The sequence below is a fragment of the Homo sapiens genome, chromosome 1 (assembly GCF_000001405.40).
Source record: "Homo sapiens chromosome 1, GRCh38.p14 Primary Assembly".
NCBI classification, from domain to species: Eukaryota; Metazoa; Chordata; class Mammalia; order Primates; family Hominidae; genus Homo; species Homo sapiens.
Window position 1 is genome coordinate 159,579,708 of NC_000001.11, and position 22,992 is coordinate 159,602,699.

At 39.9% G+C, this 22,992-nt stretch overlaps 1 protein-coding gene and 2 pseudogenes across 1 annotated transcript, besides 1 other annotated feature; 2 read left to right on the forward strand and 1 right to left on the reverse strand.

Annotated features, from left to right (window-relative positions):
* Window positions 1,916-2,513, reverse strand: OR10AE1P (olfactory receptor family 10 subfamily AE member 1 pseudogene; annotated as a pseudogene).
* Window positions 8,119-9,158, forward strand: APCS (amyloid P component, serum). Its single transcript, NM_001639.4, has 2 exons — window positions 8,119-8,278; window positions 8,394-9,158. The coding sequence occupies exons 1-2, from the start codon at window positions 8,215-8,217 to the stop codon at window positions 8,999-9,001; spliced, it is 672 nt and encodes a 223-aa protein (NP_001630.1). The 5' UTR covers window positions 8,119-8,214; the 3' UTR covers window positions 9,002-9,158.
* Window positions 17,954-19,153: an enhancer, noted in NCBI's record as "CDK7 strongly-dependent group 2 enhancer chr1:159567451-159568650 (GRCh37/hg19 assembly coordinates)". NCBI's record gives its function as "activates an origin of replication core promoter dependent on BRD2, BRD4, P300/CBP, MED14 and CDK7 cofactors, with strong dependence on CDK7, by STARR-seq in HCT116 cells {active_cell/tissue: HCT116}" and the evidence as "EXISTENCE:reporter gene assay evidence [ECO:0000049][PMID:35650434]".
* OR10J6P (olfactory receptor family 10 subfamily J member 6 pseudogene) lies at window positions 18,592-19,518 on the forward strand (annotated as a pseudogene).

Here is a 22,992-nt window from a genome sequence, read left to right on the forward strand (position 1 = left end):
AAACTAAAATATTGAAGGTATTTGCAAAGTTCTATGAAAGAAGAGATGAAAAAGCAATCAATCTTGTTTGGATGGAGTAGAAGAGAAGAGAGTAGAGTAGCCAATGATGATGATTATGATGATGGTGGTGGCCCCTACCATTATCACCACTGATGGAGCCTAGCCTCTTCAAATACATTTTCTATCATTCTCTCCTCTAGTCCCACCTCTCTATCTCACAGCACTCCTTATCATTTCTCAAACAGTTCAGGATTTGACATAAGCTTTTGTGTTGTTTTATGATAATTTTGATTAAGATATATTTATATGTGTATTCATGTAGACATATACTGTTGCAATACAAAACCTCTTACTGTAATTTTTTGTCAAAACAGTTTTGCAAAACTCTATTCCAGAACAATAGATTCTTACCTTTGGTAGATCAGAGACTTCTTTGAAAATCTGGTGAAAAAAAACATTTGCAATATTTTGCACACAATTTCAGAGAGTTTACAAACCTACTGAAACTCATTCAAGAACCCCCTAGGGACCTAGGAACTTCAGCTTCAGAATCACCCCGAAGGCACAAAATGTGCTGATTATCACTGAGGCATTGATTTCACCTATTAACATACACAGTTCCACCAAATGAGAGAAAAGGGCACCCACTATACCTGGGGCCCTCGACCTCCAGCAGTCTGTTGGAGGGAGAGAAGATCACAAGTGACCAAAAATGTGCCTCAGGCCTGCTTCTGTGGTTACAAAAATATATATAGCAAAAGTATAAGACAGAAAATGGAAAGAGTTTACCTCGGGCTGAACTAATAATGAGTCACTTATTCCTGAAATATAGTAGTGTATGAAATAGATACTACTATACCTGGGCTTTGGGAAAGTACCTTGTAGCTCTGTCTCACAGTGGATATACATGACAATTTTCTTAATTACACATGTAACTACTCACCAGGAAAAAGTGTAAGATATGAGCAGAGAAGAACAATTCAGAAGAAAAATTCTACTAGGAAACACAAAAATAAACTTTAAGCCGCTTATCCCACTACCTCTCACCCACCCAGAAAAAGGGAAAATCAGTACTTGGAGTTTTAAATGATTGAAAATTGTGGTCCACGCTTAGAGAAGAACAACCAAATCCACTTACCCAAAATAAGCCACCACTAATCAACAGTTACCATGCAGCCACTGTGGAATTAATAATTCCTAAAAGCCTTCAAGGAACAAGAAGATAAATGTTTAAGAAGAGGAAATCCAGATGAAGGCACCATTCTTTGAGAAGAGCCACCCATCTGTTCTCTTTCTTCTCAGCTTCTGGGGCTGCAGCAATAATGTGGTTTTAAAAAGTCTTTGTTTCCTCCCACAGAAGTAAAGGGTACTTCACCTAAACACACACTATTTAAGTGGCCAGTGGGGACAAATTCATGGAAAGAAGGACCTCTCTTTGCTAAACTATTTATTTTTCAATCAGCACATGGTAAGGAAAGCCTTTTTGAAATGTCAATTAAGGGTCATAAAGCTGAAATCACGGAGCTGCAGAAAGTCTCAGGTGGTCCCTGGGATTCTTTAACTGAAGTCACTGCTGCCATTATCATCAGTAGTTCTGCTCCACTCAAAGACAAAAGTCAAGCACCAAATGGCCAGGTAAAGTGGGAGCTAGGAGGATTTTCAATCAACTCGCTCACACATAAAAATAAGTCATCAAAATGCTCCTGGAGTGCCACTCGCCTCTGCAGTAATGTGCACCCTGAGCAGAAATCCTAGATTCTGCCTTCTTTCTAGAAGTAGAAAAGCAGTCTAAGTGTTTGAACCAATTCACAACAGAACTTTCTATTTGGTCTTCTTATGAGATGAAAAATGTTTATGAGCAGGAAAAACATTGCCCTGGACTAAAGGTCTCCTGATGAAATGAGTCAATCTGTTAAGAAATATTTCTGTCCACAGCTCTGTACATGGTATCCTTGGCCTCCATGTACCTCAGAGTGTAAACAACAGTGTCCAGAGGCAGAATGAATGATGATAATGTAGGTCTCTTATAGAAGACCTGTTTTCTATTGAATTCATTGGCTTGTGCTTGAGGTAAGCAGTACAAGCACAGACATATAGACAATGACCATGATGAGGTGGGGGTTGGGGGACACAGGTGGCAAAGACCTCAGATTAGGAAATTCTAAGCACGATGGAGGTAACAGGGATGTCAATATAGGAAATGCAAACCAAACCCATGGACACCTGCACACATGTGTGGTGAATAAAATACTGTTTATTTCATAGATAGTATTGTCAATGCAGGAGAGTTTCATGACAAGAAGGGTGTCAAACAAGAAGCAGTCTAAATAGCATATGTGCTCCTTTTGTACCTCTGTGACACTGTGGTTATTTAGACCACTGTCATGATCAGGCCAATGCAAAAGGCACCACACGCCAGCTGGGCACATGCCCTCTTATTCACAAAGACTGTGCACTCCAGGAATTCCCAGACAAATACACAGCAGTCAATGGTGGTCAAGATGGCAAAGATCATTATTTGTAATTCAAAAGATAAATGCTTGAGGGGATGAATACCCCATTCTCTATGATATGCTTATTTCACAGTGCATGCCCATAAATATATACACCTACTACATACTCATAAAAATTGTTTTAAATCTTAAATAAATTTTTTTAAAAAAGAAAGAAAGAACCCAGAAATTAAAAAAAAAATGACAAAGACCAAGAAAATCTCCTGGTTCTGAGCTATGAGACTAGAAAGTATTGTAGAATAAGGATGAGTGTATAAAGTCACTGAACTAACCAACACTCTCAGGAAAACATACATGACCAATGTGGGTGAGACTCAAGATGATGGCATTCCCTGCTGAAGTTAAGATGTGGATGACATCATTCACAGAAGCTGGAGACAACCAGCAAGGTGAACTTTGTCAGCTTCTGTGAGGTTCTTTCTTTGTATTTTGAAGTTTTAGGGATAACAATAAAATAGATCAGCATAAGAAAACTCTTGTGCTGCCATGTTTCTGTCATGAGCAGAAACATGGCATAGTTGACAAGATGACAAGAGTAGCGCAAGACAGCTCTAGCCAAGACCTCTTGTAGCTGCACGAGCAAGGAATCTGCTTCTGCATCTTCAGTGCATGTATTCTCTATCACTGTGGACTGGAAAATATATTCCTAGACACAGAGAAGGGAACTTTTAAACATACTCAAGATACAGAGTTACACTGAGTCCCTGCTGTTACATTTTTCTTCTTTGCACATCTCCTCCCAGAAGACTCAGGTATTATGAAGGGATTGTGAACAGCATGAAGATGGTTGTGGCCAGTGGGAGTCTGAATGGTAAATTTTATTTAAAAATTTATATTTAAAAAATGAATAAACATTAATCTCAGCAATGAAATCTATATTTTATAAAACTATAAAGATGGGTTGTTCAAAAAGAAGTGTAAGAGTGAAGGGATGTCAAGAAAGATAAAGACTAAGATACAGATATGGTGACATTCCAGAGAGCAGTTTCAGGTGAATTCTGAACTTAAAAGTGAGATTTCAGTGAGGTAATATGGTCGAGGTGTCTCACTAAACCTAAAAGTAGAAGATAAAAAAAAACTTAGCAGAGATTTTCTTTTATAAATGAACCCTGAAATTAGGAACAGAGAAATGAGATCAAGAAAAGACTCTTGTGTATCAGCATGACCTGGAAAGTGACTGACAAATTTGTGAAGCTGCCAGAATTGTGAAGGGGAGTTAGGAGTTCACAGCAGCCTGAGCCTGGCATTTAGAGTCTGAAAGAGCTACTTTGGTAGAAAGGTCAGTCATAATCTCAGGTGGACACTGATTTTTCTCTGTTGTTGGCTGAAATGTTATTAGGTAGGCAACAAAGACATGATAGCCACTCTGTCAAGAAGAGACAATCTATAAACTGTGTGGGAAATATGCATTGAATCCCAAGTCTCCTGTGGAGAATCTTGTTTCTCTCCTTTTGTTCTTTGTCAGAATTACTGAACCTTAGGAAACAAACTCCCTTCCTCTTTCTCCCTCCATCATTCCCTGAAACTTGGCTTCTGACATGCTCACTTTATGAAAATTACTCTTTCAAAGGTTACGACTGAAGTTTTTATTGCTAAATCCAGCATGCATTCAACTTAGATCTCTCTGATGCATTTAATACCACTGGATACTGCTTCCTGGACACTTACACTGACTTGGTTTCCATGACACCACACGCTATCCTCTCTGCCAAACATAATTTTTTGTCTCCCACCTCCCTCCCCACCTGCCATTCTTATCTTGCCTCTAACACCATGAATGTGAATGTTTCCTCAAGTCAGTGGTTGGCTCCCTGACCTTTCCTCTCTTCTCTTTTCCACTGAAAGACAAAATTCATTTTTGTTTCATTATCATTTATATGTTGATTTCTCTGAAACCTGTATTTCTAATTCCAAGTGGCCGTCACATATTACAAATTCTCCAAGACCTTTCTTACACATAAGTCATACTATCATTTCAAATTTAGCATTTGAGGAACCAAGTTTACCACCTACCCTCCACCTCCTCCAAGTGAACATCCTCTCAATTGTCCTATCTGTACTGGCAGCACCATATTTTTTTTCCACATGATTTGCAGTAAGAAATATGGTTCCATATTCTATATATATATTTTTAATTCTCATCTTTGTCCTTTTTTGCACTTACAATAAGACCCTGCCATCAGTCTAAGTTGTGTATCTTTGGTTTTATCCAACCACATATCAGAGTGATAATCAGTTACTCTTGATGCATGCCTCCATTGCCTCTTTCCATCTAAATGCTCTCAAATTCCCTTACAACTGACAGAACACACAGCAAATAATTCTTTACTGAACACAAATCTTGTTCTACTCAGTCTCTTCCTATCCAGTCTTTCCCATTGGTTACTGTGACTTAATGTCTTCTACAAACACCTGAGGTCTCAGAAACCATCTTTAGGTTATTCTTTAATCCCTCAGGTGATCTCCAGTTATATCTCATACTTCTGCTTTTTTGAAGCTCCGAGTCAGATCCTCTTTCTGCTACTGCTGATGCCTTCTTCCACTATGCTCTCTGAGGGTAAACTTTGTTGCATGCCAATTAATGTAGCCAAGACAACTCTGTTTGTGGCACACAGGTGGACCTGTTTCTCTTCAGCATACTGTATCTTTTCTTCCCCCAGCCTCAACTCTTCCATAGCCATCCAGACAGGAGCCGCCACCTTGACCTGAACTTTCACTGGCAGGATGGCACCCAGGAGGATCCAGCAACAGTGAGGATTGGCTCACTGTGAGGATTGCACCCAGTTCTGAAGACCCAGGATTCATTTTCCTACATCCTGACATCAGAACTTTTCCTTTCTACAATAAAAATAATTCTCAGTTTCCTCTTTGACAACTCTTGAAGTGCAGGCTGTTCTCTTCCAAGGCCTGAGAAGCATATTCTGGGGAAGGAAACTAGACAACAGAATCAGACTCCACTTTTTCTCCCTTTTCCAATTATACTGTAGACCCTACCTTCCAACCAGGGTTTCCTTTTCACAGTGTATAACACAACATTTTCATATTCAACTGCAAACCCTTGCACTTGGCCCCAACAGCTATCTAAAGCCGTTATCTCCAAGCTCTCCCACCATGAGTCTAAGGCTGTGTCACTTATCCCCAAGACCTGTTCCCTAGGCTTATCTCCCATTAGAGAAGACTCTCTTTGATATTAATTTGCAAACCATTTTTTGTTAAGATAATGATTATTTATTTATTTATGAAGAAAACTAGAAGCATCTGGTAAGCCCTGTGTTCTCTGAGTTTTATGGCACTTATTAATTAACATCTGGAAATGTTAGGGAATTGCATAGTCCCTGGGTTCTCAAGAAATGTTACCTTCCTGCTCCTACTTCCAGTATTACCTTATCATATTATTCAATTGTATTCTACTTTTTGTTGCTAATAAACTGTTTCTTGTAAAAAAAAAAAAATCCTCACACAAAGTTGAGTCCTTTGATTCCACAATATGTAACAGTTTCTTTTCATGTGTAAGAAAAATTGTTAGATGAAACCAATGATCTAAATATAAATAAGTCCTAATACCCAGATTCAGTCTAGAAGGGATTCAAGATAAATACAATAATATCTATAATATGAGACAGATAGTGGTAACAGCCATAAAGGCTCTAAAATGATGGTAATAATAACCATCCAGATACTGTTCCATGTACTTTATGTATATCATAGTATCTCATTTATCCTTAGAGAAACACTGTGAGGTAGATAGTTTTATCTTTGTTTCACAGAGAAGGAAACTAAGGTTCAGAGGGGTTTAGTGACTTGCAGAATAGTCAGCCACTAGTAAATGGCAACATTGGAATTCTATCCCAAAGTCTTTGATCTTAACCTTATGGGAAGTACGAAAGAGGGGAAATAATGTATAGTTGGGATATTAGAAAAGTCTTCATGAAGCAGATTGTTTTTTATTTTTTATATTTTTGTATAAATTCAAGGCATACAAGTTTAGTTTTATTACATAGACAGCAATAACATAATAGTGAAGTCTGGGCTTTTACTATAACCATCACCTAAATAAGCTTGAGATTAATGTGGAAGAATGGCTGGAATTCCTAGAAACAGGAAAAGAAAATAAGAGAGAAATTCAAGACAGTATGAAGGCACTGAATAGAAGTAATGAAATCAAGAAAGCCAGGAAGGTATAAAGAACAACAATTAGAGGTGTTTGACTGGAGAATAGGATTAGATTCTGAGATAATAGCCAGGTTAGAGCCAGATTGCAAATGGCATTGGCTTCCAAGCAAATGGTCTGTATTTAATTCAGGAGTCAATAGATGCATAATCCCAACTTTATCACTAACCTATACTGTGCAACAAGCCAGATAAGGCTTCACAACCTGGGATTCCATTTAGAGAAAAAAAGTAGAGAATGGAAACTCCCCAGGGATGAGAATAGGAAGGATACTTTGAACAATGATAGAGAAAGTGTATTCTTGGTGGCAGTGATTGTGTCATTGAAAAGGCTGATTAGGTCTGTGGTGAGCTAACAGAAGAGAGAGTGAACAAGAGGCTAAACAGTAGGATGAGAAACAAGACACCATATAATTCAGGGATGAGAGAGAAAGAAATAATGTGGCTAGAAAGAAGAACTTCAGTTTGATATCTCAGAGGCAGAGAAGGTTTGAGTGGTGGTTAATAAACTGTACAGAGAGAGAATGAAGGAGACATAGAAAGAATGAAGGTGGAGATCTCTGGGGCTGTGAGAGAGCCAGTGACCACTGAATCCCCAGCACCTAGTGTAGTAACTGAGAGCTAGTGAATAAATGTATTAGTGGGGTCATCACCAAAGATGGATTAGATATACACTCAATGACCAAGGACTCAAAGAAGAGGAGAGAAAAACTTGGGGAGATGCTGACATCTCTGCAGGTAGCATGAAGTAACCAGAAAACAAGTCGTAATGAGAAATGGAAAGATCTAGGATAAGGAAGCACCATGATATGCAAACGAAAAAAAAGCACTGAGTAGAAGTAGCAGAAAAATACTAAGCTTCATGGGGACAGAAAGTTTATTCTCCAAGTCCCTCTTTCCCCTTAGCTTTGCCTGGATGTATTACTTGATGTTGAATTAGTCAAAGTTGAAGGCACTTTTTAGGGTCTTCAGCAGAAAGCAGAATCCTAGAATATCCTACAAATACAAGACAACTTGAGAACTATAAAAGAAAGAAAAGGCCTTGTTCCCATAGCCCACAAGAGGGCTGAGCTCAGCGATACACTCTGTGTGGCTCAGGAGCTTCTGGCAGAGCACAGAGCCATCAGAGAGGGGGCCCAGAGAGCAGAGAGAGGCTCTGCTGACATGGCCAGCCCAGCGCCTCATCCCATCCATAACCCTGCTGCCCTGCAATGACTCTCTTCCCAGCAATAAAATCTGGGTCACAGGAGTTGGAGCTCTAGCCATCACTTGTCTCTAATAAATAACTCCCATTGATTTTCCAGCTCAGGGCTCACCACTCCTTCACCGTAAGCGCCAGGAGGCAGACCTGGAAAATCACTCACATATTATTGGTGCTCTTCCTCCCCCATCCTCACCCAAGGTGCATATAAACCCTGAATAACCTGAAGTCTAAGGGCATGAATATCAGACGCTAGGGGGACAGCCACTGTGTTGTCTGCTACCCTCATCCTGGTCACTGCTTCTGCTATAACAGCCCTAGGCCAGGAATATGAACAAGCCGCTGCTTTGGATCTCTGTCCTCACCAGCCTCCTGGAAGCCTTTGCTCACACAGGTAAGGAGGTGAAGGAATGGTCAAGAATCATAAAGTGAGAAAATAGGTTGAAGCTGAGATATCTTTTCCCTGCATTTATACTGAAGGTCATTATCTTTCTTTCTTTATCCCGCAGACCTCAGTGGGAAGGTGTTTGTATTTCCTAGAGAATCTGTTACTGATCATGTAAACTTGATCACACCGCTGGAGAAGCCTCTACAGAACTTTACCTTGTGTTTTCGAGCCTATAGTGATCTCTCTCGTGCCTACAGCCTCTTCTCCTACAATACCCAAGGCAGGGATAATGAGCTACTAGTTTATAAAGAAAGAGTTGGAGAGTATAGTCTATACATTGGAAGACACAAAGTTACATCCAAAGTTATCGAAAAGTTCCCGGCTCCAGTGCACATCTGTGTGAGCTGGGAGTCCTCATCAGGTATTGCTGAATTTTGGATCAATGGGACACCTTTGGTGAAAAAGGGTCTGCGACAGGGTTACTTTGTAGAAGCTCAGCCCAAGATTGTCCTGGGGCAGGAACAGGATTCCTATGGGGGCAAGTTTGATAGGAGCCAGTCCTTTGTGGGAGAGATTGGGGATTTGTACATGTGGGACTCTGTGCTGCCCCCAGAAAATATCCTGTCTGCCTATCAGGGTACCCCTCTCCCTGCCAATATCCTGGACTGGCAGGCTCTGAACTATGAAATCAGAGGATATGTCATCATCAAACCCTTGGTGTGGGTCTGAGGTCTTGACTCAACGAGAGCACTTGAAAATGAAATGACTGTCTAAGAGATCTGGTCAAAGCAACTGGATACTAGATCTTACATCTGCAGCTCTTTCTTCTTTGAATTTCCTATCTGTATGTCTGCCTAATTAAAAAAATATATATTGTATTATGCTACCTGCATTTGTTTAGTGCTTGTCATAGTCCCATATCTTTATCTTATGTCTACTACTTATCTATCTACTAATTGGTGTTTCATTGGTAATTGGTGTTTCATTATCCTGAAAACTCCAATTGCCAAGTACGGGGAGGAAAACCTGTAAGTAACTAGAAAGATATATCACAAAGCCAGAGCACTCAATGAGCACAACAGTGGCAATACTTAAAAGCTACTAACAATCATTTTAATGACGATTCAAAATATGTGTGGAATTGTAATCACAATTCTCCTATTTGTTTTTCCAGCTACAAATCGATCAAAAAGGGGTCTGAGGTTGCATCAGGTAGACAACTATAATGATATAAGTAAGCAATAGTTGAGAACCTGACAGCAAGTAATAAGACAGGAAGAATAAAACTAGAAGAAGTCAGAATGAAAACCAAAAAAGTATGAGACTGGGATCATTTTGTATGAAGACAAACATAACTTTATGTCTCAAAAACCTCAGTAGGACTGTACAATGCTTGATTTTCATAATGTTCTCTTGATGTCATCAAAAAATATTATACTCTGAATATTGCTCACATGAATATGCTGTCTAAAATTCTTCCATGGATTCACACTTCTTACAGGACATGATTTAAACCTCTAAATATGACATTGCCCTCTATAACCTGGTCCCAGTTACTCTCTCTGAAATGTACACAGAGAGTATACACAGAATACTCTCTGAAATGGACTTTCCATGTACATTTCAGATACAACTCTTAGCAGAGCAAGCCACATCCTAACTATCACACTGAAAAATAATTGTCAGATGCTATTACTAGTAGTTATTTTTATGGTTATGAAAAGCATGGAACACAGTGCCTGGCACATCGTCAACAGATATAAGTTGCATTCCCAGAGAAGCAAGGATCCCAGAGGGAGTTTGAGCTACATATATGGGAAATAAGACAGGCTTTTCTCACTGATAATAAGTAGAGCATGTAGTCAGTGGAATCAGAAAGATAGCATCCAGAAGCTTCAGGATGGTAACCAATGTCATGATTTCAAACTCATGAGGCCATTTGGCCAGAATGAACAGAGGCAGTCACCAGATATGAAGAAGTAGGATAGAATCTGGAAACTCCATAATGGGACAATGGGGTGGAAGCAGAGGAGAGCAGACAGAACCTGGGAAGATTTGCTGAAGTACTTAAATGGAGCAGCAGGGGCTTCATAAGAACATTTCAACCTCATTTCTGGTGAGGTGGTATGATGGTTTGGATATGGTTTGTTTGCCGCCACCACACGTCATCTTGAAATTTTATTCCCAATATGGTGTTGTTGGAAGGTGAGTCCTAGTGAAAGGCATTTGGGCTATGGGGGTGGGTCCCTCATGAATGTTTTGGTGCTGTTCTTACGGTAATGAGTGAGTTCTCACTCTTATGAGAGTGCATTAACTCTTGTGGGATCAGATTAGTTCTTGCCAGATGTAGCTGTTATAAAGCCAGGATGTCCCTTAGATTTTGTTCTCTTCGCACATGTTCACTTCGCCTTTGAATTTCTCCACCATGTTTTGACACAACACAAAAGCCCTCACCAGAAGCCAGAGGCATGATCTTTAACTTCTCAGCCTGCAGAGCGATGAGCCAGATAAACCTCTTTTCTTTATATATCACTGAGTCTCAGGTATTCTTTTATAGCAACACAAAATGGACTAAGACAAGTAGAACTTACTTAGAACATTGAGTTGGTTAGGTAGACAGGGATTTTAGCAATATGAGAAATTATTAATTTCTGATTGACAGCTCATGAGTTAAGGCTTGCTTTACGCTTTCTCAATATTAACGACCTTTCCATAAACTTGTACTGTGAGTACTAGAAAGGTCTATCTATTCTTGCATAACAGATATTTCTATCATGTTCACTAACACTGTGTTTTGGTTTAACAACCCCTTTGCCTAGGAACCCAAGACAATTTTAGAAATGAAACCAGTGTACTTCCAAGTGATATAATCCATTCATTCAACTATTTATTGAGCAACTTCTCAAAAATACGCCAGGCAATGCCAGGTACTGAAAATATAATATTGAATAAAACAATCATGGTGCTTGCTATTTTAGAATTTACATTCTAATAAATCTGTGTTAACTACATGTGGGTTTCTCCTAACAATAATCAGGCTGTACTGTAATCCATCTCTCACATGTTTAAGCTTTCTTCTATCTCAGGTTGATATCATAGTCCACCTCTCACTTTCCCCTAAGTTAAAGGTATTATTTATTCTTGGTGATCATTTGCAACTACTTGCATAGATCTCAGGATACAGTGTTTGTGACAGGTTTCTTGTTCTTGTGAACCCTCTGCCTCTTAAAATGGCTCTTTTGAACAGAATCCAAAATGACTGCATGTAAGCTCTTTCTTCTATGTTGTCTGTATTTCAGCCAAAAGAAGCACTTATACATCTCTTGTCCCTATAAATTCTAGAAGTCTCAGATGGTCTTAATATAGACAACTCTTTCCTATTTACACAGTGGTTGCAGCTTTCTCAAGTCCTTTGAGTCTCCCAATAGCAAGAGGGATATTTCAAGCTTCCGCAGTGATTCCACAGAAGCCCCCACATTAGGCTTGAGGTTGGGTAAAGAAGTAAAAAATAATAATCTTCTCAAGATACAAATAACATAACCTAATACTCCCTCAAAGCAGCAACAACAGCAAAACAGCAGCTCTCTGCAAAGAAGTTCTTTGGAAAAGTTCCTTCCTATCTCCACATTCTGTCTTCTTTGGGCACCTTGTTCTAGCCAAAAGGTAGAAGAGTTGTAGAGATGGTTCTTAATCATTTCCTTCATGAATTCTTTATTTGAGTGAATCTGTGTATATTATTTTTATCATTAATATCTATCATATTGATGGCTCATTCAAAACTGAAGACAGTCCATTTTAACATAATTTATAATAGAGATGGTGATATGGTTTGGCTGTGTCCTGACCCAAATCTCATCTTAAATTGTAGTTCCCATACTCCCCATGTGTCGTGGGAGGGACCCAGTGGGAGGTGATTGAATCATGGGGGCGGTTACCCTCGTGCTGTTCTCATGATAGTGAGTGAGTTCTCACAAGACCTGATGGCTTTATATGGGACTTTTCCCCCCTTGCTCCACGATCCTCCTTCCTGCCACCATGTGAAGAAGGACATGTTTGCTTCCATTTCTCCATAGTTGTAAGTTTCCTGAAGGCTCCCCAGCACTGTGGAACTGTGAGTCAATTAAATCTCTTTCTTTTATACATTACCCTGTCTTGGGCAGGTCTTTATAGCAGCATGAAAACAGACTAATAAAGATGGAATTTCTGGTAACGTCATCTCGGCATTTTTCTCAGATACAGTTGTTGTCACAACAAAGAAATCAGCAAAAGTCACAGAGGAAACTACTTGAATAATTCAGAATCTATAAAGAAAATGGAAGGATTTGGAGGTGCAATAACCCAGGAACATAGTTGTGTAGTGATTTAATAATTACAGAGATAATCACGCCCTTTCCCATACTTGCCACTAAGGCTGTTAGATACTAGGGGACAAGTAGTACACAAGATGTACAATAAGTTGCTAAAACCAGGAGTCATCTCTAATAAGAAAAGCAATTTTTGAGTCTCTATCTTATACAAGTAACGATCTGATTCTTATTTTTGACTACAGAAAAACAGGTAAGAGCATTTAGCCACATAGCTTCAGGACTGGTTTTAACAGAAGTCCATAAATAATTTTCCTGGATGAGAAGGCTTGCAGGTAGTTTTCTGTGAGTTTTGTGTGGGAGACTCTGGGTGGAGCTCTGAGATTAAAGCAATGAGGCCCCTTAGCTTGGGATATGCCTTAGCTAAAACTTGAGTTGAAGTGGAAATTTAAAAAAAATATTTTATCTGCACTGGATAGGATCAATGTATAGTCACATTTGGAATGCAATGTGGAGACTTTTTAGGTATTCATGAGACTTTGCATTGTTTAGAAATAATAGGTGTCCAAGACCATTCAAATGACAGAAGAAAAAATGAAACATGACCTGAATTGTCTTTAATCCTTATCTTGTCAAGACTAAATAGCTGATTATCATATAAACTAAACTCCATTTGTATTCCAGAATTTTCTATCTCCTTTTCATCTGGCTGGCTGTGGCCACTTTTCTGAGTTTAACATGGGAGATACCTCAAGAGACCACCGTCGAGTTCGGGCACTGGTAAAGGCATCTGCATCATGTCACATTCAACCACAGGATCCAGAAGCAAAGCTAATCTAATGTTATTGACATATTTCACTGAAGCCCATAATCTATGAGGGGTTCACACAGCTGTGCCTGGGGTGAGATGTCAAAGACAAATACTTCATCTAGAGCTCCAGCTGTTGCAACAGCTTCTCTCAGTATCCTTATGGGGATCCTATGAGGATTCAGTATGACAATGCATACAAAACACCTACTCAGTCCCTGTTCTGGCACAGTGCAAGTGCTCAGTGATTGTTAGCTGTAATTATGAGGAGGATGATGATCTAAAATGTAATCACCTGCCCTAACTTCTTTTTATATTCTGACAAATCAAAATGAGCACTCATGCTCCATTTTCAGTTCCTACCCCCAAAACTAATTTTTACCTAACAAAACCAATGCATGGCCTCTGCTAGCAGGAGAAATGATGTAAGCTCTTTCTATATACAAAGAGAGACACCATATCTGACTTTTACACGAATGTATTCTCACTGACAGTAACTAACCAAGGACCAAACACTAACAGGGATTCAAAAGAAGAAAAGATGGTGCCATGTGACAACATATCTTCAACTGAGTTGAGCTACTTTTTTCCCTGAAGAAACATAAGTAGCAGGCCATGTGAGACCAAAGCTTGCTCAATATTCCTAGTGTGATCTGCTTGTAATGAGATCCCCCGGCTCATTTCTGGATTCTCATTGTGCAGACCCAAGGGAGACATGGTAAGTCTCTTGACAAATTGATGCAGTGACTAGAGCTAGACAGAAGAACTTCTCCTCTGAGAGTCTCTTCCTAATCACAGAGTTTAAGGGGGCAGCTCTTCTAGAGCCAAAGCAAAAAGGGCCAAACGGACTCTGTGAATGTCACCCTGTGCTTTAGCCAGAGTCCAGTGAAATGTAAGTGACCCAATAATCTAATAAGGCTGAGAATCAAATAAGGCTAAACTTTTAAAGACATCAAGAGTCTGTCAATTATTTTTCCAGACAAACAATAATCAGATTTCCTAGAATTGTAATGATCTTTTGTAAATTAGTCACAATTATTCTAAAACTGAACACAGATTCCACAGACTGCAGAAGGTGGATGGACACTTTTGGGTCTGAGAAGGCTTCCATGCAAAAGAAAAGTTATTATTCTCTTATTTATTCAAATAGCTCTCGTAATCATCAGTTTCTTAAGTCATTGAGTCCTCCTTCCCTGGCTCCTTAGATCTATTTTGTTTAAAAAAGAAAGGAAAGGGAAGGAAAATAAGGGAAAGGAAGGGAGGGGATGGAAACTCTACCAAAAAGGCAGGTCACTATTTTTTTTAAGTGTGCAATTCCTTTACACACAAAATATATTTATAGAAGTTTTGCCTACCTGCATATTTTAATTTTTTTAACACAGATTCTGTTTCCAGCAACAAATTTTGCTTATAAAGACCAAAATATTTGGGGGCATCCATGGCTGTTGTAATAATTTCTTCCCCTTGCAAATGGCATTTCCTTTACACTTTCAAATTCTGTTTTCCCCTCCACTTTATTTTCCTTTTTCCTCTGGTAGGAATATTGACTTCATGACTAACATTTTGATGCATGAGCACATTTCAGTATTTTTACTCTCCCACAGGGTTTTTATCCTTCTGGAATGTATAAATCATTTTGAAAGCTTCTTTCTGTTCTATACTGTGCTTTTGAGATTATCCACTGGCGTGTTCCCTCTACAGAAACACCCTTAGGGTTCAGCCAGAGAAGGTCCAGATTTGGGTGGTAGAAGGGCTGCTGCTACTGTGCTCAGCTGCACTCGCTTCTGGCTGGGTGGAGACTCATAAAAAGCAACCAGTAGAAAAAAAAGAGAGAGAGAGAGAGAGACAGAGAGAGAGAGAGAGGTAGCCATCTGGTGCTAACATAGCCCTTAAGTTCACTGAGACACATTCTAACCACTGAGAACTCACCCTGGCAAACCTCCGCAGGTGAGACCAACCCACCCATTCCATACATTTCTTTGGCTCCATGGTACCCTCTGGGACCTCTTCTCCCTTCCCAAGCTAAACGTTGGTGTTCATTGCTCCCTGATTTTGTGTGTGTAAGGCTCTAAGAAGACCGAGGAGAACTAACAATGTGATTTCCTCCTGTGTCCCAGACTTCCTTATCTCTCTCACCAGGGCCTTCCTCACTTCCAGGGACAGTAACAGCTGTGTATTTGACATTTGAGCCATAATTTCTAACAGTAATAATTTTAGATTGCTTCTGCACCTCAGAAAGTGACAGGTTAAAAAATGAGACAACAAGGCAATTGCCCTTAATCTCAAAGGGACTCTAAAACATCGCTGATAGGTAGCGAAATGAAGTGAAACACATAAGAGAACTCCTTTCATGGAGAGTGATGTGGCTGGGAAGAACACTTGGAAAAATCAGGGCGAGCAATGGCACCTGCTCTAGGAGGTATGGATGGCCACTAAGTGCACTAAGTGCACTCTGTGCAGGACAAAGCCCAATCACTGTAGGGCTTGTTTGTTTGTTTGGGCTAAGCCTAGTGTTGGGAGATCCCTTTAGCTGAGCTCCACATGCAGGAGAAATGATAGCTTCCCCTGTGGCAGGGCTTTACCTTTCCCTCACACACCACACACTTTTCCTCCAAATAAATACTAAACAATAAGGAAAGAACATTGGTTTGAAGGGGCTATTCTTGCTCCCACATCTTACACTGACCTTTCATTTTTGCATTTGTTTCCCCACATTTTATGAATATCTTGTATTAAGATATTATTTTGTTGCCCATTCAATCCAATTCAAATGTATACCACAGGTAATAAACTTCTTTTCCTGGGCTTATGTACCTGACCCAGTTTCCCTGCATCTAGTGGGTCCTTAGCCATCTTGTCTATAGCTTCACAATTTATTCCAAGAAAGTAAATTTATATTTACATGAAACATATTTACAACAAATTGGTGGCTGATTTGGGGTGAAAGCAGCACTTTTCAGCTCCTAAATTAAAGATACCAGAAGATTTTTCCTCCTCCTGATTTAATTCAGTTTTGTACTTTCCTCCCTTCCCTACTCCAAATATGTTTATAGTTTTCCTGGCTCAACATAGCCTTAACCATATTTTGTCACTCATTGCAATAGGCTCATCAGGAAAGGGAAAAGGCACATGAGATCTGTTTTTCTCGTCTAACATATTAACAAAATTCTTCTTTATTTACTCCACATAATCAGGCTTTCCAGCCCAAGACTCTGCTAGATTTGTGGCAATAAGGTCATTGGTAGCCTCCTTCTTAATCAATTGAATATATGTTTTCAGTTGTCATCCTCCTTGACTTCTCCAAGTTATTTATGAGTTATAATTTTATGCTTAAAATATTTTAAAATGAGCCATTATCATCACTGTGAAAATGATAAAAGTTAAAGTTCCCTATAGCACCCCCAGCACAATATAACTGTTAATTCATGATAATATCAAGTTCATATTCTTTCAGACTTTTTTCCCCCACATATGCAAATATTTATGAACATCCACAAACACACACACACACACACACACACACACACACACACATGCAAATATTCCTAACCATATGGCAGCATATCATAGTATTGTTCTCTAAATAGCTCGTTTTGTGGTTGTTATTTAATGTATTCCACACATCTGTTCATGGTAGGACACCATAACAGCACAGTCCAGCATAACTTTTACCAACAAAAGAAAATGTTTGATAGCTGAGCTATCCAATATGGTGGCCACTAGTCACATGTAGCTTTTTATCACTTGAAATGTGGCTAGTATGACCGACTAAGTGAATTTTTAATTCTCTTTTATTTTAGTTAATTTAAATTTACACAGCCATAGCTCCATCCTATCCTTTCTAAAAAGCTGCTTGGAGTTCCACTGTCACTCTCTTTAATCTTTGCCTATCCAACTGGTATCTCAGTGGTCTCTTAAGGCAAATTCCTTTAATTTTAGTGACACACTCATTTCTACTCGAAACATTTGCCTCATTTTCCATGATGGACTATTTTCTAAAACACCCACAATATTTCCTAGATTCCTAGTGGCAGTTCCCTAAGTGTGCCAAAATCCCCCAGCCTGTTAGTGTTACTTGTTATTTAAGCAAAATGATTCAAATCATCATTTGATACATGATGGAAATCCCAGGCTCACTCACCAAATTTCTAGCAAATATTGTGTGTGCTTGTAAGGGGGATGGGAGGGCAGGAGAAGGCCTTGTATTTCTTCTAGTCATTACAAGCTAGTGGTTTTTCTTCCTCAGTCTGGAACTTACTCCTTGCACATACCTTTTTCTGCACTGTGCCATCATCCACTTCTCTTTACTTCCTAACTACCACCAACTGAAAATTATACATATAAAAGCTTTAAACAAAGTCTCTTGAGGCTCTCAAGGGAGTTTACATTACAGTATAGTTCAGCAAACAATTTTAAATCAAATAGTACACCTCTTTATTCTTAGAATTCCCTCTGCCAAAAAAGAAATCAGCTACTTTTTTTTAAATTCAAGGTCCAACTTTCTGTTGTGTTGCTGATTCTCTTCTCTCTTTTTCCAACGACTTCCACTTCTCTCTCTAGTTTACATGTCTCCAAACCTTAAGCCTCTGTTAATACTTTCACAATAAGTCAATTTTGCCAACGGTTTGCCTCCCCTAGACCATCTAGGCTGGGCCCAGAACACCTCATCTTCACTCCCACTGAAGTGTTCCTGAAGGTCAGCTCTCACTGACCTTGATTCTGCTCCCCTACACTGTCACCAGAAGCTATCCACCTATGGTTCTAATTCAGTAAGTCCAACTCTCTCACCCCCTTTTTTTGTCTCAGCTGTGTGGGCTTTCCCAGGATGGCATGCAATGGGACCCCTGTGCCATGCATATTGTAAAGGAAAATGCCTCCCTCCATGCGCTACAAAACAGCACATTTATGATGGCACTTTGAAAAGATATGGGTTGTGGTGTCACATATTGACAATTCCTTGGCCAGAGGCTTAACAGTGCCAGCAGTGCCAGAAGATTAAGAAGACAGCAAAAACAGAAAAGGGAGAAGATGGTGAAGTAGTTATATAACATGAGCGAGAATGCTCCTGATTACAAAGCAGAGAAATTGACTTTTTTTCTTAGTGTTTTCTATAGTCATTGCTCTATCCCTGTTCTAGAATTCAAGTCATGATAAGAATTTCTTCACGTTGACTTCCTGCATTGCTTTCAGACATTGCAATTAAAGAATGCGAAGAAAGAACCTCACAGAGGTAACAGAGTTTGTTTTCCTGGGATTCTCCAGATTCCACAAACATCACATCACTCTCTTTGTGGTTTTTCTCATCCTGTACACATTAACTGTGGCTGGCAATGCCATCATCATGACCATCATCTGCATTGACCGTCACCTCCACACTCCCATGTACTTCTTCCTGAGCATGCTGGCTAGCTCAAAGACAGTGTACACACTGTTCATCATTCCACAGATGCTCTCCAGCTTCGTAACCCAGACCCAGCCAATCTCCCTAGCAGGTTGTACCACCCAAACGTTCTTCTTTGTTACCTTGGCCATCAACAATTGCTTCTTGCTCACAGTGATGGGCTATGACCACTATATGGCCATCTGCAATCCCTTGAGATACAGGGTCATTACGAGCAAGAAGGTGTGTGTCCAGCTGGTGTGTGGAGCCTTTAGCATTGGCCTGGCCATGGCAGCTGTCCAGGTAACATCCATATTTACCTTACCTTTTTGTCACACGGTGGTTGGTCATTTCTTCTGTGACATCCTCCCTGTCATGAAACTCTCCTGTATTAATACCACTATCAATGAGATAATCAATTTTGTTGTCAGGTTATTTGTCATCCTGGTCCCCATGGGTCTGGTCTTCATCTCCTATGTCCTCATCATCTCCACTGTCCTCAAGATTGCCTCAGCTGAGGGTTGGAAGAAGACCTTTGCCACCTGTGCCTTCCACCTCACTGTGGTCATTGTCCATTATGGCTGTGCTTCCATTGCCTACCTCATGCCCAAGTCAGAAAACTCTATAGAACAAGACCTCCTTCTCTCAGTGACCTAAACCATCATCACTCCCCTGCTGAACCCTGTTGTTTACAGCCTAAAGAACAAGGAGGTCAAGGATGCCCTATGCAGGGCCATGGGCAGAAACATTTCTTAATGCATTATTCCTCTATATAAATATACATTTAGTCATAGAAATGTGTGTCCTTACTTACATTAAACAACCTTACGACTCTGTCCCATGCAGTCTATGCTGCAATGGGATGTGCATGTCTTGCTTTGGTATATTTACTACAAAATCTTAGTCTCTGTTTCCATATATTTCAAAGTTTTGTCCAGGCATTTTCAACTAGGGATGTGAGAGGTCAAGGAGAATGGGCATGATTTTTAGGAAAGAGCATCCAAATTTCTAGGATGAAGAAAGGGACTTTTAAAAGTATATTAAATATGATTATATTGTGTTTAAAAAATAAAAAGCAATGTGTCTCATTTTTGTAATGCAATCTACAGAAAATAAAACTACAAAATCATCGCAGCAAGGTAAGGATAGTCAATAATGATGGATTCCCTTGAAAGAAAATAGTATCAGAATTGTCAGGGAAAAGTGAGATGAGCGTATTAAATTTAAAAAAAAATAGGAAAGTTGGAAAACACTGGCTTAGTCCTTGAAAATTTAGTCTTTATTATTCAATTTATGCTAAAGCCTTTGCTTTTATCCAGTGTAGTCGTCAGATGCTGGCCATGGCCACAGATCATACTTAACTCTCACCTTTCTAATCTAAATTCCCTAATTGAATTCTTTCTGGCTGCTGGTTCTCTCCATGGGATCAACTTCTCTCTAATCATTATGAAGAAAAATTGAGTTGGTCAAGAAGATCTGTGCCCTGTTAGAATAAGAACCATAAAAGCTTTCCTCATTTGCACATACCATGGCACCTCCTGGTAGCATAAAGAAACAAAAGTAGAACAAAACAAACAGTCCCAGCAGTCAGGAGTAGTTCAGAAGTATAATTGTAGAATCACTCAATTCACCAAAAAAGGCTAACAAGAAAAAAAAATATTTTTCCTTAGTAGACTCCTTTGAGAAAAATATCCTTTTTCCCAGGGCTTTCTGGGAACTTTTTTGGTTTCATGCCTATACATACCTTCTATGTGGTTATCTTGGGTGATGGGTGATGGTAGGGAGGGTTTAAGACTTTTGTTGAGTGCTTCCTTCTACTAAAATATTTTTTGTCAAGAATACTTCTCTGCTCATTCCCTAATGCCATTTTTCTTTTTTTCAAGACAGTCATTTTTTTCCTTTCCCTCCACTGAGAAAGAATCGATAACATCCTAAGGAGCTCATCTCAGGTAAAGAATATCTTTACAGATTTCTGAATTCTAGATTGGGGAGACCATTGTTCTTTCAAGGTCTGACCAGTTCTTTCTAATTCCTGTCTTGTGTCTTTGCAATTTCTACATCATAGAAACAAGGCTTCCTACAGAAGCTGTTGGGGGCTCAAAGGTTGGGTCCAAGAGTCTTGGACATGCTATGAGGTCTTTCTTGACAGCACTCTCAGGGTCATCCCACTACAGATCTAAACCTCTATGCCCAACAAGAGTGAGGCAGATTCCCTCCAGAATGAGAGTGTCTCTCCTGACAGTATGAAAGAACCCCTCCCACTGCCATCAAGGCCACCTGTACTGCCAACTCTTAATTATAACCTGCCCTTCTCAATTCTCTCTGGCTAGCAACTACTTGTACATCCTCATACCTGTCTTTTTGTGTGTAGAAGGGAAGAGATGAGACAGAGAGGGCTGTTCTGAGCAGGAAAGTACAATGATGGAAGTTGGGTGGTGATCAAACCTGTTCTATCCTGCTCCAGTGGCAGTGGCCAACTCCCACTGCCCATTACTCTCCTTTCTACTTCTGCACACAGCCACTCTCCTTCATTAGTTCATGAATCAAAGACAAAGGTTTCTCCAGTATTGTCTCTACATCTAAATGCTGCAACAGCAGACATACCACACGCCACTCGTGCAATCAAAAGTTAAATGTCACAGCGGGGCCCACAAAGAGCTGGCAGAAAATATGAGTCATAAATCTTGAAGGTGAAATATCTTTGTCTCTAACTCTGTTACCCACAATGGTTCAATCATATGTCCAGTTTTTTTTAAATAAACATGTGTGCTTCTAATTTCTTCTTGACAATAAGATGTTGTCTTACATGGTGGATAGAATAGAGGTCCCAGAGTCAGATGGGTGCTGAGTTCACTTCCTCACTCAGCACCCATCAGAACCTTTTTATGAATATAATGTTTTTAATTCTGCCTCGCTTGTCATCAAAAGCATTTTTTAATCTCCTTACCCATTTGTTTTGCACAGGCTGGTATCCAGTGACAAACCCTACTTCACATTGTTTTCTGCAGTATCATTTACCTCACTCCCACCCAGCAGTTAGTTGTTCTCTCTTAAGTGTTCCTAAAGTTATTTTTGGGAAATTACATGAGTTTAACATTTTTTTCATTGTGCTTTTCTTGCTTGTTTCTATCACTGGATCACAGGCATATTGGGATCAGGAACTGCTTTCCTCATTATGATACCCCTGCATGGAACAGCACCTGGAGAGTAGGTGTTCAATAAATCCTCACTTAGAGGTTGAGTACCTACTATGTACAAGCACCATGCTTGGACTTCTCAGCGTGTCTTGCTGAACTAGACACATCTGCTGTCTTTGTTTGTTCAAGCTGCTTTAACAAAAGACCAAAGAGTGGGTAATTTATAAAGAACAGAAATTTCGAGCTTACAGTCCTGGGGTCTGGGAGGTTAATGACCAAGGCACTAACAGGTTCAGTGTTTGGTGAGGGCATAGTCTCTACTTCCAAGATGGCACCTTGTTGCTGCATTCTCCAGAGGGGATGAACACTGCTTCTCATATGGGAAGAGATGGAAGGGCAAAAATGGACCTATCTAGTTACTCCCATCCCTTTTATAAGGTCACTAACCCATTTATAAAGTTATATGGTTTGGAAGTCCCACCCAAATCTCATATTGAAATGTAATCCCCAGTGTTGGAGGTGGGGCCTGGTGGGTGGTGACTGGATTATGGGGATGGTTTTCTCATGAATGGTTTAGTACCATCCTCTTGGTACTGTCCTTGAGATAGTGAGTTCTCACGAGATCTGGTCCTTTAAAAGCGTATGGCACCTCCCGCCTCACTGTCTTGCTCCTGCTCCCACCATGTGAGACGCCTGCTCCCCCGTGAACTCCCACCATGACTGTAAGCTTCCTGAGGCCTACCCAGAAATAGATGCCCGTGTTATGCTTCCTGTACAGTGTGCAGAACCATGAGCTAATTAAACATCTTTTCTTTATAAATTACTCAGTCTCCAGTGTTTCTTTATAGCAATGCAAGAACAGACTAATACATAAGGGCTCTGCCTTCATGACTTAATCACCTCCTAAATGTCCCACTTCTTAATGATATCACGTTGGGGTTTAAGTTTCAACATGAATTTTCGAGGGGACACAAACATTCAAACCAAAGCACCTGCTATCCTTTTTCTGTGTCCTTTGCAGGGGGCCCTCCCCTAAATACAAACACAGAGTCATAAGCTCGTCCACTGTGGCAGAGTCACTTGGGTCTGCC